General features: G+C 34.0%; 1 protein-coding gene across 1 annotated transcript, besides 1 other annotated feature; it reads right to left on the minus strand.

Moving 5' to 3' along the window:
* Window positions 3246–3747: an enhancer, noted in NCBI's record as "NANOG hESC enhancer chr11:56050274-56050775 (GRCh37/hg19 assembly coordinates)". NCBI's record gives its function as "activates a minimal SCP1, AML or CMV promoter by ChIP-STARR-seq in naive H9 embryonic stem cells {active_cell/tissue: H9 hESC(naive)}" and the evidence as "EXISTENCE:reporter gene assay evidence [ECO:0000049][PMID:30033119]".
* OR8H1 (olfactory receptor family 8 subfamily H member 1) lies at window positions 8910–12702 on the minus strand. The gene is made up of 2 exons (NM_001005199.2): window positions 12399–12702; window positions 8910–11532 (listed from the first exon to the last, which is right to left on the minus strand). Exon 2 carries the CDS (start codon window positions 11508–11510, stop codon window positions 10575–10577), a length of 936 nt encoding a protein of 311 aa, NP_001005199.1. The 5' UTR covers window positions 11511–11532; window positions 12399–12702; the 3' UTR covers window positions 8910–10574.
* Between the last annotated feature and the right edge of the window lie 489 nt (window positions 12703–13191).

Raw genomic sequence — 13191 nt, forward strand, 5'->3', positions numbered from 1 at the left:
CTAAAGCTTTGTTGTTAAGAGTTCTGCATTCTGTGACTCATCATGCAAAAGATAAAATGATCCAAATTAAATATATATTGGTGTGGTGACTTCTAAATTGCTGAAATAGTTTATGACCAATGTTTGGTTTGTCAAACCCATATTCCTAGGAAAACAATCAAAGCTTCAGGTACATTTCACTACCTGATGGATCACTCAAACATTTATAGAGGGACTTCATACAATTGTCATTTTCAATGCATGGGTTTTGGTTGTATAAAAGTTTTCTCATACAAGAGGGCTGATGTTATAACAGTAGATTATTATGCTACAGTATATGTTCACCAGGTAAAGAAAGCTTTTTTATAGTTTGCTGACTGAGGACAATAAACCCCTTTACAATCTAGAACCCAAAGACTGGATCTTTTGAGAACATCAGAGAAATACTGCCCTTGTCATCCACACTGTAGCAAAACTTCAATACCTTGAATCTTGGGTTCAAAATCTCACAACTCAGAAGGGTCCGTCCACACAAGTGAAATTGTACACTTCCCTTTGGAACCCTTAAGGTAAAGGTAACCAGGGATGTTTCTCCACAGAAGAAGATAGCATCTTTGATGTGAACAGCTTTTTCCCAAGATCACAGATGAAGATTTCTCTACTATCATGAGACTCTTATCTTTGAATCTTTTTTTCCCTTGCTTAAGTCTCTATGAACAATAGAAGTGAAATGGGAGTATGTTGTGTGCACTCATGGGGTATACTTTTATTTGTAAAGGATTTTGAAGCCAGCCTTATACATGGATAACCTAATACCTTGATAGATGGAAAACGAAGGCCCAAGGTAGATGAGAAATTTTAATGGTACATATGTTGCCTCAAAATCAGTCAGAAACAGAACATTGGTTCACTCCTTTTAACCTACCTCACAGGTTAAAGAGAACATTAAAAGTAGGCCCTTTACTAGAATGGCATCATTTGTTAGGTCCTCTTTTTCCATGGTTTTAAGTAAAAGACGCAATGATTAGGAATGTATCCCTCATGATAGGCTCTATAGCAGATTCTATTGTATAGGTGATGATTATACAACAGACTTTAAATTCTCTTGTAAAAGTTATGCTAAATAATAGAATTGCTCTACATTACTTACTGGCTAAACAGAGAAGTATCTGTGTAGCTGCTGGCACTTGTGGCCTATGGAGAAATATATCACATCAGGTCTTATAGAGGGGATTAACAAAGAGACTGCTTAGTAAAGTGAGTAGACTTTTTAGCTCATTCTTTTATCTTTTTGATTTTAGGTGGTTTGGTTTAGGGGGAACCTGGGTAAGGAGCATACTCCAAACTCTTGGTATTATCCTCCTGATAATAGTAGTTTCCCTGGTGCACTGTATTATCTTAAAAATTTTAAATGTTTGCATGGAGCCATCCTTAGAATGTCAAATGGTGTCTCTTCAACTGGAATGACAAGACCTGAAAGAAATGTGTGACCATATGGGCACCGTAACTTATGAGAGACATGATGAGACTGGAAACCCAAAATGGTGGTAACTGAGAGTGGTGCTTAGGCCCTAAGTGTTTGTCGCAATCTCACCTGAGAACATGAACAAAAGTGGAAAATTTTTAAACAAAATTATGAGCGGTCATTGTTTTGGACTGAGCTTATGCACTAGGCCCCAACAGACCAGACTAAACCAAAATGGAGTCATTCATGCTAAATGTGACATAATTAAGCTAAGACTTTAAGGATACGCTTAGATCCTAGAACACACCAGGTTTTGTTTTCTCTCCTGTAAAAAGGATGTTCCAGCATAAGGAGGTACCCTCTATTCTAACCCTTTCAAAAAAATGAATAAATAACCTGAAGTCCCTGTTCCCATCTTACAAAACCTACTGTTTTGCTATTTCCCAGTGGCTTTCAAGCCCAAATAAGTACATTTATACTGGTGAAACTGACATCAATTACTAAACTTTTTGTCCACCTTTAAAAATTGAGATGACCAAAGAGAGAAATTATTAAATCGAGTTTAACCTGAAGCTGCCTCATTACGTATTTTAACTTTGGCCAAAAGGTTTCTTTGTACATCACAAACTAGAACAAGTGGAGGTGTAAACAGACTGAAGCCTACATCTGTGCCAATCACCAAGTTTTGGCCAATCAAATGGAGCCAACTGTTTGAACCATGTTCAAACATGGCAAACACCAACCTATAACCAATTCAGCTATTTCTATACCTCACTTTTGTTTTCTGTATGTCATTTTCTTTTTCTATCCATAAATCTTCCACCATGTGGCTGCACTGGAATCTCAGAGCCTACTCTGGCTTCAGTGACTGCCCAATTTGCTAATCATTCTTTGCTTAACAAAATTCCTTTAAATTTAATTTGGCTGAAGTTTTTCTTTTATCATGTGTCCTCCTCAATTTCTTTCATTTATGTTTTATAGTTTGCATGGTACAGCTCTTTCACTTCTTTGGTTAAGTTAATTCCTAAGTATTTAACTTTATTTGTAAATATTGCAGACTTTTTATTTTTACTTTTGAATTGATTGCTACTGACATTGTAATCCAAAAATAAAATTCAAATCCCCTTCCTCATCCCACAACCATCTGAATGGACTCCCTCCTAGGCCAGGGCACTCTAAAATTAACCTCAAAGACTGGATCAGGCCATGACTGTAAGTGAGGGTCCTATGTGCCTCACTATACTCCTCCAGTATTAACATCAACACAGACTGTAGGTCTGATAAGTAACATTTACAATCTGTTCTAAACCTGCTACCTGGAGGCTTCATCTGCATGATAAAACCTTGGTCTCCACAACTCCTTATCTTAACCCAGAAATTCCTTTCTATTGATAATAACTGTTTTAGACAATTACCAATCAGAATATCTTTAAATCTATCTATGACCTTCCCCTTCTTCAAGTTGTTCCACTTTTCCACATTGAACCAATGTAAAAATATGATTGATGCATTGTATCCATAAAATGTGTAAAACCAAGTTTTACCCTGACCACGTTGGGCATATGTCATCAGTACCTCCTGAGTCTGTGTCACAGGGGTGTCCTGAACCTTGGCAAAATAAACTTTCTAAATTGACTGAGACCTGTCATCAATATTTTCAGTTTGCAGTGTATAGAAATGGTCAAAAGAAAGAGTCAAACTCTGTAAAATATTTGAAGAGATTTATTCAGGGCCAAATATGGGTGGCCATTGCCCATTACACAGCCCCCATGAGGTCCTGACAACATGTGCCCAAGGTGGTCAAGGCAGAGTTTGGTTTTTATACAGTTTAGGGAGGCATGAAACATCAATCAAATACTTTTAAGAAATACATTGGTTTGGTCCAAAATGGTGGGACAAGTCAAACAGTGGGAGGCAGCAGGTTTCAGGCTATAGGTAAATTTAAACATTTTCTGGTTGATAATTGGTTGAGTTTGTCTAAAGATCTGGAATCCATAGAAAGGAAATGTTCAGATTAAGATAAAAGATTGTGGAGACCAAGGTTCTTTTGAAGTCTTATAGTGTCTGCCCTTAGAGACAATAGATGACAAATGTTTCCTATTTAGATCTTTAAAAGGTGCTAGACTTTTAATTTATCTCATTAGGATTGGGAGGGCCTGGAAGAAAAAACATATATCTATGTTAATAGAGATTCTTTACAGATGGAAATATTCCTTTAAGGACAGCTTTACAGGGCCTTTCAAGATATGGCAAAGACATATGTTTTGGGGTAAAATATTTTGATTTTCTTCCTTGTTTCATAATGTTATGCCAGAGTCAGTTTGGAAAGTAAGTTATGATACATAGGGTTAAATAAAACCCATCTGCTGAAAAATCTATGGTTTCTAGGACATGACTACCCAGATCATTTAGATAAGAATGTGGGCAAGATAAAACAATTAGAGCTTAGTCCTCAAAATGCTACTAATTTTTTATGTTGATTTTTTATCCTGCAACTTTATTGAATTTGTTATCAGCTTTTTAATTAGTTTTCTGGTGGAGTCTCTAGGTTTTTTCAAATATAAGGTCATATCGTCTGCAAATAAGAATAATTTGACTCCTTTCTTTTCAATTTAAATCCTCTTTATTTCTTTCTATTGTCTGATTTCTCCAGTTAGGACTTCCGGTACTATTTCAAATAATAATGTTGAACATGGGCATTCTTGTCGTGTTCTAGATCTTAGAGGAAAAACATTCAGTTTTTTTTGCCATTCAGTATGTTACTAGTTGTGGGTCTGACATACATGGCTTTTATTATATAGAGTTATGTTCCTCTTATACTCAGTTTTTGGAGGGTTTTTGTCATGAAGGGATGTTGAATTTTATCAAATCCTTTTTCAGTATCAATTGAAATGTTCATGTTTTTGGTCCTTCATTCTGTCAATATCATGTATCACTTTGATTGATTTGTGTATATCAAAAAATACTTGCATGCCTGGGATAATTCCCACTTCAACATAATCAATGATATTTTTAAACCGTTGTTGAAATTGGTCTGCTAGTAGTTTGTTGAGAATTTTTGTATTGATGTTCATCAGGGATTTGACCTATAGCTTCTTTTTTGTTTGTTTGTTTGTTTGTTTCAATGGGTCTGTCTGGTTTTGGTATACTGGACTTGTAGAATGAGTTTGGAAGTACCCATCCTCTAGTTTTTGGAATAGTTAAGTAGGATTGGTATTAGTTCTTCTTTAAACATTTTGGTAAATGTAAAATTTATGACAAATATAGCAAAAGGAATGGGAGAGATCTGACTTTACTCTAAAGGTCTTATGTGAAAAGTTGAGATATAGATTATTTTAGGTAAACTATAATACATAAAACATGTTTTTATAATCCAGGGTCAACACTAAGAAGACAGAAGAGAAATATAACCAATATCAGGAATGAAATAAGGTATTTTACTCTGGTCCCTACAAATATGACAAGGAAAATAAGAACATTATAAACAACATTTTGCTAATAAAATTGACAATTAAATGAAAAATACAAATGAAAAATGTAAAGAAGCTTACATCAGAAGAAAGGGGTAACCAGGGTAGTCCTATGTCTACTTAAAAAATTGAATATGTTCTAAAAACCATCCATATGAACACAACGTTTGGAATTGTCTTCCTTACTGTCAAAAAATCTCACCTTTCTCTCAGACTAGAATGTGGGCAAAGTACTAGATTAACTCTCTTCAACAACATAGAAGAAGACATCAGGGAGATAATAGAGCAATAACATAGAAGAACCTGTGTCCTAAGATTGCCTTGTGAAAAACAGCTCCCCACAAAGTCTAGTCAGGTCAAGAGTAATAAGAATAAAACAAAGAACACTCTGCAGGTTATATTTAAGGATACTTTGTTGTTGTTGGGTCACTCTGTTTCTGAATCCTTTTTTTTTTCTTTAACATCAGAAAAGCCTGTATCCTGATTAAATACAAATTCTCTCCCCAGCACCATCCCATCATCTGATAAACTGTTCTTTCCTTTATTGAGTGCTTTTTCTGTAAATAGGACTGTACCTATACATCTGAGATTTAGCTAGTACTGCCAAAATCATACTCTCCTCTATCAACAGCCCTAGAGAATGTTTATCAGCAGCATATCCCCTTTAATAACCTCTATTATTTTGTTAATGCCTTTAATAGGGTGTAAGGGATTTTTTTTTGTTAAGAAAAGAATCCTAAATGCCCATCAATCAATGAGTGGAGAAAATATTGCTCTATGTGTATATATTCCATATATATGGATATATGATGGAATACTACTCAGCCATAAAAAGGAATGAATTAATGGCTTTAACAGCAATCTGGATGGAACTGGAGACTATTATTCTAAGTGAAGTAACTCAGGAATGGAAAACCAAACATTGTATGTTCTCACTTATAAGTGGGAGCTAAGCTATGCAGATGCAAAGGCATAAGAATTACACAATGGACTTTGGGGACTTGAGGGAGAGGGTAAGAGGGGGGTAAGGGATAAAAGACTACAACTGGGTTCAGTGTATACTGTTCTGGAGATGGGTGCACCAAAATCTCACAAATCACCACTAAAAAGCTTGCTCATGTAACCAAATACCACCTGTTCCCCAAAAAATGTATGGAAATAAAAATTTTTTAAAAAATCATGCAGTTATCTGTGGGAAGGAAGCTTCAGGAAGAAGAGAAAATGGAAAACTTCAGGCAGTGTTAGTAATACTATTTACAGCGAAGAGCTGGGAGATAATGGAATAGAGACAAAGTAAGTGTGACAGGTGGAATAATAAGAAATAAGTTCATAGACTTAAGAATTGAGGACATCATTTTCAACCAATGAACACTTATAAAGTTCTTGGTTTTTATTTTTAGTGTGAGGAAATACTGTATAGGGTTTGTGAAGAGAAATGATATAATCCAACCTACTATTTAACAGTATAACTCTGGCTCCTATATAGAGATTCAACTCAAGAGGAATAAGAATAAAATTACATGCATGCTACCACACTACAGCAATAATTCTGACACTAAAAAGACAGTTATCTGGGCCAGGATGGTAGCAAAAAATGTGTTCAGACACCAAATGTATTCCATATTTAGAAGAACTTTAATATATTAATTGAATGGAAGTAAAGTGTGTTTAATAAAAATAAAATTCCAAGATAATTCTTTTTTTTTCGGTGGGGAGAGAGCATGTTTTCTTAGTATTGCATTAAATGTCTATGAGCTGATGATACAAAAGAAAAGCAAACACAAGGACATGGGTATAGATTCTTACTAATTGATGAAAACCATTCAAACTGCAAACACAGTTTGCAGATATTAATTGCAAAAGTCTGAGACAAACACTTTCCGAGATGTGAGTGTATCAATAGGATTCTGATGTTACCAGGACTACTTTGATATTCCTTTGCATTTGTTTTCTGCATTAGCCTGAAATTCCCCCATTGAAGTTGCTGGAACCACTGACTATCCCGTCCTCTCTAGAACTTCAGTTTAAATAATCAGAAGTACATTTGCTTCCCAGGCTGCACTTCTGCTTATTGTTCAACTTTCAAAGGGCAAAGTGTCCTTTTCTGAATATTTGATCGAATGCCCAGAATTTAAAATGATTTCTCCACCTCTCTGACTTGTGGCTGAGAAAGCTGTCACTCGCAGACAGTTCTCCCTAAGATGTGTGTCTATATCTGAAACAGTTACAGAAAGCCTCTCCTGGCCACATAGAGTTGAAAGAAATAGTTAGGCTTGTAAGAAAAGTTATTGAAAGGTGACAAGAATTACATAATAATATGAGCTGAGTGTACAAATGAGTCCTCAGGAGAGGAGGGCAGTGTCCTCACTTCAAGCCAAGTAAAGGCCCCAGGCCCACCCATTGCTGGCTTGAATGCTCTGTTTCAGCTTAAGCTAAAGCCTATATTTACCCAGTTCTGGAGCTCCTCTGTGTTTTATTTACTTTTTAAAAATTCTTAATTTGACTTTTTTTGTGGGTACATAATAGATACATATTTAGAGTATATGAGATAATTTGATGCAGGAAGACAATGCATAATAATCACATTACTTCAACATAATTCTTAAATCTTTGCTTGACCAAGTAAAGGGTGGTTTTCCATTAATGTGTGATTAAAATTTAGATATTGCTAGTACTGACCTGGCAGTTAAATTATAATGATAAAGTATGTTAATTATATATCTAAAGCCCATTGAATATTGTCTGAACAGTGCTCAGAAAAAAAAATTATTATTATTTTCATCTAGCCATCATTATTTGAAAGAAAAAATAGCTGTTCATATTTTGCTATGCTGAATTACAGGGTTTTTTTGTATTTATGTTATATGGCACTTTGGCATGACACTATGAATCAGAGGACTATGCCTTAAATTAGACAATATCTTACATAAAATATAGTTTACATCACTATAATAGCGAAAGTATAAGTCAAATGTGAACAGTCTAAATCTTTCATATTGCACATAGATTATTGTATACTTTTCTATAATATTATGTGAATACATTTTAGCTTATACAATGAAGAGGATAAGGTAGTCCTAATTAAAATAGAATTTAAGCAATTTCTCAGCATAAGTGTTGTCTACAAAGTGATAGATTCTGTTGGCCATCTTTGTAACTCAAATTGACAGGATCCATTTTCTAAATCATAGAAATAGACATAAATGAAAGCAAGATAAAACCATAGCTTATAAAAATGACTAGAAAAATGGAAAGAGCCTATAAATACATGAAATTATATCATGCATTTATAAGATGAGAATGAGCCAAAAAACATATTATTAAACAATAAATTCCTACTACATACTTGTTTCTAATTGCAAACGAAAACAAATAGGGGAACCTATAAATATATATTCTGGACGACATGGATATCAAAGCAAAAATTAGATCATAATAATTTTATATAGCATTAGTATTTGATAAGGCAAAGTTTTGAAATAAATTAAGAAAGTAGAGGAAATAATATATATTTAAAAGATCTGAATAAGTTAGTTGACAGTTTGAATTACTGAAAAAACATTAAAATATTAACTCAAAATGGAGGTTACATTCTATTTTAAACATCCATAAAGCACTTAAAAAACAAAGAGGACAATTTTACAAAGAAAACAAATTTCAAAAGGTAAAAAAAAATTGCTTGAATGAAAACAATCTAGTAACTGTTACAAAAATTTAAATAAAAAATCAAATACTTGGAAAATGGAAAATAGCTTCTAAAATAACCTTTAAATAGCACAGAAAAACAATACTGTGATTCCAGAATACGTAAAAGAAAAATTTAAAAATAAAAGACCTTTTATCACTCTGCCTGACTAAAGTTTATGAGATGTCACAACATCTGAATTCATCGTCAATTCTTTGCTTTACAACTTTTCTGTATTAAGAAATGTAAAAATCAATGAATAAAGCATTTAATTCAAGGATTTATTTTTAAAACTAAAACTTGTACACATCAGGAGCAAGGCAATGATTTTTAAAAACACACAGAATTTTAACAAAGAAACAGTTTGACTCTTTACAGAAGTCAAGTTTTCAAATGTTTAACACACAAAAGAGATATCACTGCATGTAGATTTTTAATGTGGTGAGTTAATATTTCAAGTCCAAAACATTGTGAAATGAGTCTTGATTTTGCCTATGTACCAAGAAAAAATTTATATTAGCGTTGTCAATGACAAAGAGATTATCCAATGTTAAACTTGTAAATGGATACAGAAAGCTGAAAATCAGTACACAGAAAGTGATATTTAGTTTACATATGTTATACACATGCACATATTCAAAACTATTGATCTCGAAGAACATGCACAAAACTCGATATTTGTTTTTCTTAAACTGAAAACAAGTTTATTAGAAAAATAAAGAAACAAAAGAATGGCTATGCCATAAGCAAAACAGCCAAAACTCAATATTTTGAGGGTTTCTATTTTCCTTAATATTTTATAATATTTTTCAAATTTTCTCTAACAATATATGCTATTTTATTATAACTTAATTTTATCAAAATATTTTATTTCCTAAAGTCCAAATTGTGAACTACTGATATTATCTTTTTTTTTCCTTTTTAGTTGCTTGTGTGCCTGTAAATTAAATTAACCAAAAGTAATTTGTAAAACACAAGTGAATATCCTTCACAAAAGGCATTGTGCTGGAATGCAAGTCTTCTAATGAGAATAGGCAGCATTGATTATTGTCACCTTAAATACTTTACAGCTACTCTCTGATCAAATTTGGAGTTATTATTTATCTTGTGCACTTAAGGAAAGAGAGTTTTAAATTTTAGGTAACATATTCTGGGTTGTATAGCTGAAAATGTAGCATATTTAGAATCTAACTCTTGGAAAACTTTATTTCAAAACAGTACTCCTAAAGACTCTGTTATAATTCTTCCCCATATAATAAATGAAATAACTTCTGAGACTGTTATCACTGTGCCCCAAATCGTTGTTTTCCATAATAAATTTACCTACAACTGAAGTATGCATAGGAATTTGTGTAATATAATTTTAAAGGACAACCATATTTTCTTATTTTCCACATCAGTTGCTTCTAAAAACATATATTTAGACTGTAAATATGACACACATATTATTATTTTTTGTTTTGTTTTGTTTTGTTCTGTTTTGTTTTGAGACGGAGTTTCGCTCTTGTTGCCCAGGCTGGAGTCCAATGGCACGATCTCGGCTCACTGCAACCTCTGCCTCCCAGATTGAAGCGATTCTCCTACCTCAGCCCCGCAAGTAGCTGGGATTACAGGCATGCACCACCACACCCAGCTAATTTTTTGTATTTTTACTACAGACCACATTTCATCATGGCTAGGCTGGTCTTGAACTTCTGACCTCATGTGATCCACCCACCTCGGCCTCCCAGAGTGCTGGGATTATAGGCATGAGCCACCGTGCCCGGCCAACACATATTATGATTTCTAATTACAATCTGGATTTCTGAAAACATACACCTTGAAATGTTCAAGATCACGTTTAGTCAAGCAAAGGTTAGCACAACAGAAATGCAAACATGAAGGATTCAATTGTTTTTATAGGGAGACCAAGGACATACCAAATAGAAAAGAAAGAAAAGATGAGTTTAAATGTTCAGCATTCCTGCTATTTTAATTACCTGGAGTCCTGTCTTCTCTGCATGACTCTAATGAGAGCATTTTTAACTTCTTTGTTTCTAAGACTATAAATGAGTGGATTCAGCATGGGAATCACAATAGTATAAAAAACAGAAGCCACTTGATCCCTTCCCAAAGAATAAGACTTTCTTGGTTTTAAATAAGTAAAAATCATAGTTCCATAAAAGATGGTGACTCCCAAGAGATGAGAGGCACAAGTAGACAAAGCTTTCTGCTTTCCTGAAGTGGAATTAATTTTCAGGATGGTAGAGAGAATGGACACATAGGATGCAGATATTGTGATAAGGGACACCATCAGGGTGGAACCAGCTAAAATGTGTATCATGATTTCAATGTCGTATGTGTCCATGCAGGACAGAGCTAAAATTGGAGACGTGTCGCAGAAAAAGTGACGAACTACATTTGAGTCGCAGAAATGCAGTCTGCTCATCCAAACCACATTGACAAAGGAGTTGATAAAGCTAATCACATAGGGCCCAGTGACAAGAGCGCAACACAGCCTTTTGGACATAATAACTGGGTAACGTAGAGGACTGCAGATAGCTACGTAGCGATCATAGGCCATTGATGAGAGAAGAAAACATTCAGCAGCTCCCAAGAAGACAAAAAAGAACATCTGGGCAAAGCAGCCCATGAAGGAAATATAGTTGGAAGTCAGTAAGTTCGCTAAGGTTTTAGGTGTGATGACAGTTGAGTAACTGAGGTCAATAAATGACAAGTGAGTAAGGAAAAAATACATGGGAGTGTGAAGCTGGAGGTCCAGGCGGATTATCAATATCATCCCCACATTGCCCAGCATAGTAATTAGGTATATCAGGAGAAATAGTATAAAGAGGGCCATCTGGACCTCTTCAGAATCTGACAGTCCCGTAAGGATGAAGTCAGGCACATTTGTGTTATTTCTTCTACCCATGATGTTCAATTGCTTTAAACTGCTGAGAAATCAAAGTTGATACTTAACATGAATGACTTCAAAAGGTTTCTGATTATACAATAACCTAGCATTTAATTCATTTAGTGTTTCTATAAATTGCTAATACATTTATAGAATGTGACCTTAAAACGGAATTATATTGCCAATGTAGATAAAAGTGTAAATTAACATTTAGATGTGATATAATAAAATGTAACATATTGCATAATTAGAATGAACCTGACCTTGTTCTGAATGCCTTCCTTTATTAATACATTTAATCCACAAGAAAATACTATGCCATAGATACTACTATTATCGACATATTTTAGCCGAGAAAAAAAGAGTATGGAAGGTTTGAGTAACTTATCCAAAGTCAGAACAATTAAATGTTGACGCTGATTCTGCCAACATATGTTGACTTCAGAGAGAAGGCTTATAATACTATACTCCTGTTTATAAATAATTTCAGAAAACCTGAGAAAGAGCTAAACATGTAATAAACAATGAGAGGAAACAGTTTTTAATAGATTATTTACTGCCCCTTTGTTTCTAATATTATTTAATGGTAATTTTAAATAAATTTCACACTTAAGGATTTTAGCAGGATACATTAAAATTATAGACCATATATAAGTATTAATTTATACAAATATGATGTTTTAGTAACTTAACCAATCAAAATCAAATTTCTTCCAAAAATTATATGATCAAAATATGTACTTTGCTTGTAGACTCTGATTCCATCAACTCTACATATCTCTTTTCACAAACCCGGACATTACTCAGGGTAAGGACTAGATGACATGTATATGTATATTCTTATGATAAAGTCCTGAATTAATTTCATCTGAAATAAAATCTTCCAATTTTGAGAATAATACTTACCGTGTCTGAGCCAAAGTTGGTGAAAAAGCTTTCTTCTCATATTATCTGTCTAGAAATTTGTCAACCTCAATTTTTCTTATAAATAAAATATGAAAACCATTTAAGGAGATAAAATTTTCTCCGATATAATATTTGTTTTCCTTGAGATAAGTTGTTTTTACATTTTTGTGCATTCATTTTGTTTTATTCTGTGTCAAAAAACCAACCTAGAAATTTCGTTTAGGTCCTGGTCAAATGGAAAGATTACCAGGAAGTTGTGTGTCAAAAGAACACTGGGAATCTCTGTGACTATAGGTAGATTATTCTTTACCTCTCACTCTGATAATTCCAGAGTACCTAATATATGAGGGGCTGATGATAATGCACCTTTTGGTAGTCCCTGTGGACCAATTTCCAATGAAGAATTGCTTGGTATGTTTCCAAGGATAAAGGTGCAAGGAATAAAACAGCCACGATAGATTTTGAGCAAAGGTTTTCCTTTTTACCTTACAAGCCACACAAATGAAGGAAATTATGGATTGGTCTTTTCTTGTGATGTTTTCAATATTTTACTGGGATGGTGGAGAAGCCATTTCCAGAAAAATAATTATTCTCTGACACCATCAAAGATGGAATAACACATTTTTTTCAATTAAAATTTTGTATATTTAAATGTATGATACTATCATAGAAGTAAACATGTTAATTAGAAAAGAATCGGCCGGGCGCGGTGGCTCACGCCTGTAATCCCAGCACTTTGGGAGGCGAAGGCGGGCGGATCACGAGGTCAGTAGATCGAGACCATACTGGCTAA

Source organism: Homo sapiens, chromosome 11 (genome assembly GCF_000001405.40).
Source record: "Homo sapiens chromosome 11, GRCh38.p14 Primary Assembly".
NCBI classification, from domain to species: Eukaryota; Metazoa; Chordata; class Mammalia; order Primates; family Hominidae; genus Homo; species Homo sapiens.

Excerpts from the sequence above, each read along its gene's own strand:
- OR8H1 (NM_001005199.2), bottom strand. The coding sequence starts at position 11,510 with ATGGGTAGAAGAAATAACACAAATGTGCCTGACTTCATCCTTACGGGA.